This window comes from Homo sapiens, chromosome 22, assembly GCF_000001405.40.
Source record: "Homo sapiens chromosome 22, GRCh38.p14 Primary Assembly".
NCBI lineage: Eukaryota > Metazoa > Chordata > Mammalia > Primates > Hominidae > Homo > Homo sapiens.
This window is the reverse complement of record NC_000022.11, coordinates 47,280,730-47,282,835: the sequence shown is the minus strand read 5'-3', so window position 1 is coordinate 47,282,835 and position 2,106 is coordinate 47,280,730. Positions and strand designations below refer to the sequence as shown.

At 55.8% G+C, this 2,106-nt stretch overlaps 1 annotated feature.

The window, feature by feature from the left end:
- Positions 689 to 1,189: an enhancer, noted in NCBI's record as "H3K4me1 hESC enhancer chr22:47677397-47677897 (GRCh37/hg19 assembly coordinates)". NCBI's record gives its function as "activates a minimal SCP1, AML or CMV promoter by ChIP-STARR-seq in naive H9 embryonic stem cells {active_cell/tissue: H9 hESC(naive)}" and the evidence as "EXISTENCE:reporter gene assay evidence [ECO:0000049][PMID:30033119]".

Sequence of the window (2,106 nt, the reverse complement as noted above, 5' to 3'; positions counted from 1 at the left end):
TGCAGCCATGGTGCTGAGAACAGATGTGCCCAAGGTGGCCCAGGAACAGGTCAGACCCCAGAAGACAGAGTCGCGACGGCACAGACCCCAGAGTAAGCTGGAGGCTGGGGGTCTCGGAGGGAGGGGAAGAGTGAGCCTGGGGCAAACCAGCTCCTGCCCTGAGCTGGGCACCAGGGCCTGGGTGCCCCCTATTCCCGACTCTAGGGTGCCCGGGGCTCTCCACCCCTGGTGCCGGGTGAAGATGCAGGGAAGGCCAGCATGACACAGGACCCCGCCTGGCAGGACCCAGGATCCCGGGGCTCTGGTCTCCATTCTTGCCTTGCCAGCTCTGGGACTCAGCCCCCCTGCCTGGGTAAGGAAAGGCCAGCGGCCAAGGCTCCATGTCCTCTGGAGCTCTGGCATTCTGTGAAGGGCTGGGAGGTGGCCATGAGGCTCCCACCCTGCCACAGCTACTCCCTGCTGTTTCTGAGCCTTTGGGAGCCCTGGACCACACCCTCACCTTGCCTGGGAAGCAGAGCCAAAGCCTCCACAGAGAGGCCCGGAAGGGGAGAGGCCACGCGGGCCTGCCACCACCCCCGCCAGTCTCAGCCCTGCACCCCGTTTATCCCATGTCACACCATCACTGCCGCTTTGCCCTCTGTCCACACACCCTTCCTCTCCACTAGCCGCCAGCTCAGAATCCAGGAACCCTCAGCTCCAACCCTTTGGCCAATGAACACGAGCAAAAGTGGCTCGCGTCACTCCAAGAGCCACTGTGTGTTTCACTGTTTCTGTGTTCCCTCTGCCATGCCTCATCAGGGCTGGGCCTCAGCCTGGTCGGGAATGAAGAAGAATGCAGAGCAGATGCACAGCCAGCAAGAAATCAACCCTTGATTCAGAAAAAGCCCCCGAGACTTGGGTGTCGTTGGCTCTGCAACATAACCCGCAGAAGCTGCCTGGCGTGTCCGGCAAACATGCCCAGAGCAGAGCCATGTGCATGTCAACATGCAGGCTGACTCTGGAAGGAAAACCAGGCCCAGAAGCAGCGGCTGCCTGTGCAGAAGAGGTGGGGAGGGGTGGGTGAGGGAGACTGAGGTGCCTCACACTCAGGGCTGTGTCATCTGAATTCTCATCCTGTGCACTGTTGCCTTAAAAGGCAACCATTTTCAAACAACTCTTTGAGGACTGGGATGATGACATTAAGATCGTCCCAACTCACACTGTGGCAGTGATGCCCTGATGACCACCCAGGGGAGCACTGAAGACCAATGCAGCCTCGATTCACTCCCCAAAGGACAGATCCCTCCGAGCAGAAGATAGCACTGAGGGGGTCTGCAGGTCCAGGGTCCATGCAGTGCCAGGCAGGGGCCACACTTAGGGCTCACAGCTGCATAGACTGGCCAAGAAGGGAGCAGGCTCAGCAAGGTGAGGGGACGCGCCCAGGGACCAGGCCCTGACCCATCCATCCATTACCAGGCTCCGGAGCTCTGCTCATTTCTGAGAATACTCTCATTTTCTGGCAGTCTCCTGGTGACTCACCTGCTCTTCTCTGCCCATTTTCCCAGCATAACAATTGCTCGATACTCTCCCAAATTACTCAGGAGTCGCTCATCCATGAAATAGCAGAGCCAGCGAGCCTTCCAGACAAAAACTGCCCATTTCTTAGAACAGCCCGAGTCTCAGACTCCAGTCCATGGAGTCCTGGGGGGCGAGGGCCCAAGGGGACCCCAGGGGTGGGAGAGTGGACACTGTCAGAGAACATTTCTCTCCTCTCTTCCCTGCGGGCAAAGTCCTCAGCCCCTCCCCCATTTTGATGGAGTGGCATTTAATGCTCTTTTATCAACTTGGGGATTGTCTTGATCCAGGAGCTAATTGTATTGACATTAACCTGTTTTAACAGGTCTAAAGTATCAATAAATCATTTTTTAGTAGCTCTCCTTATTACAGCACTTTGTTAATGTATTGCACTCGAAGTGACAAACAGCCAGAGAAATCATTGCTTTCCTGTAATCTACTTTGTCTTTTTAAGTCTTTTCTTTCCTCCTGCTAGTTCAGATACTTCTAAAGTTGATTTAGAAGTGAATAAAGATGGAGGCAAGACTAGTGCCATTCACTGGGCTGGAATCC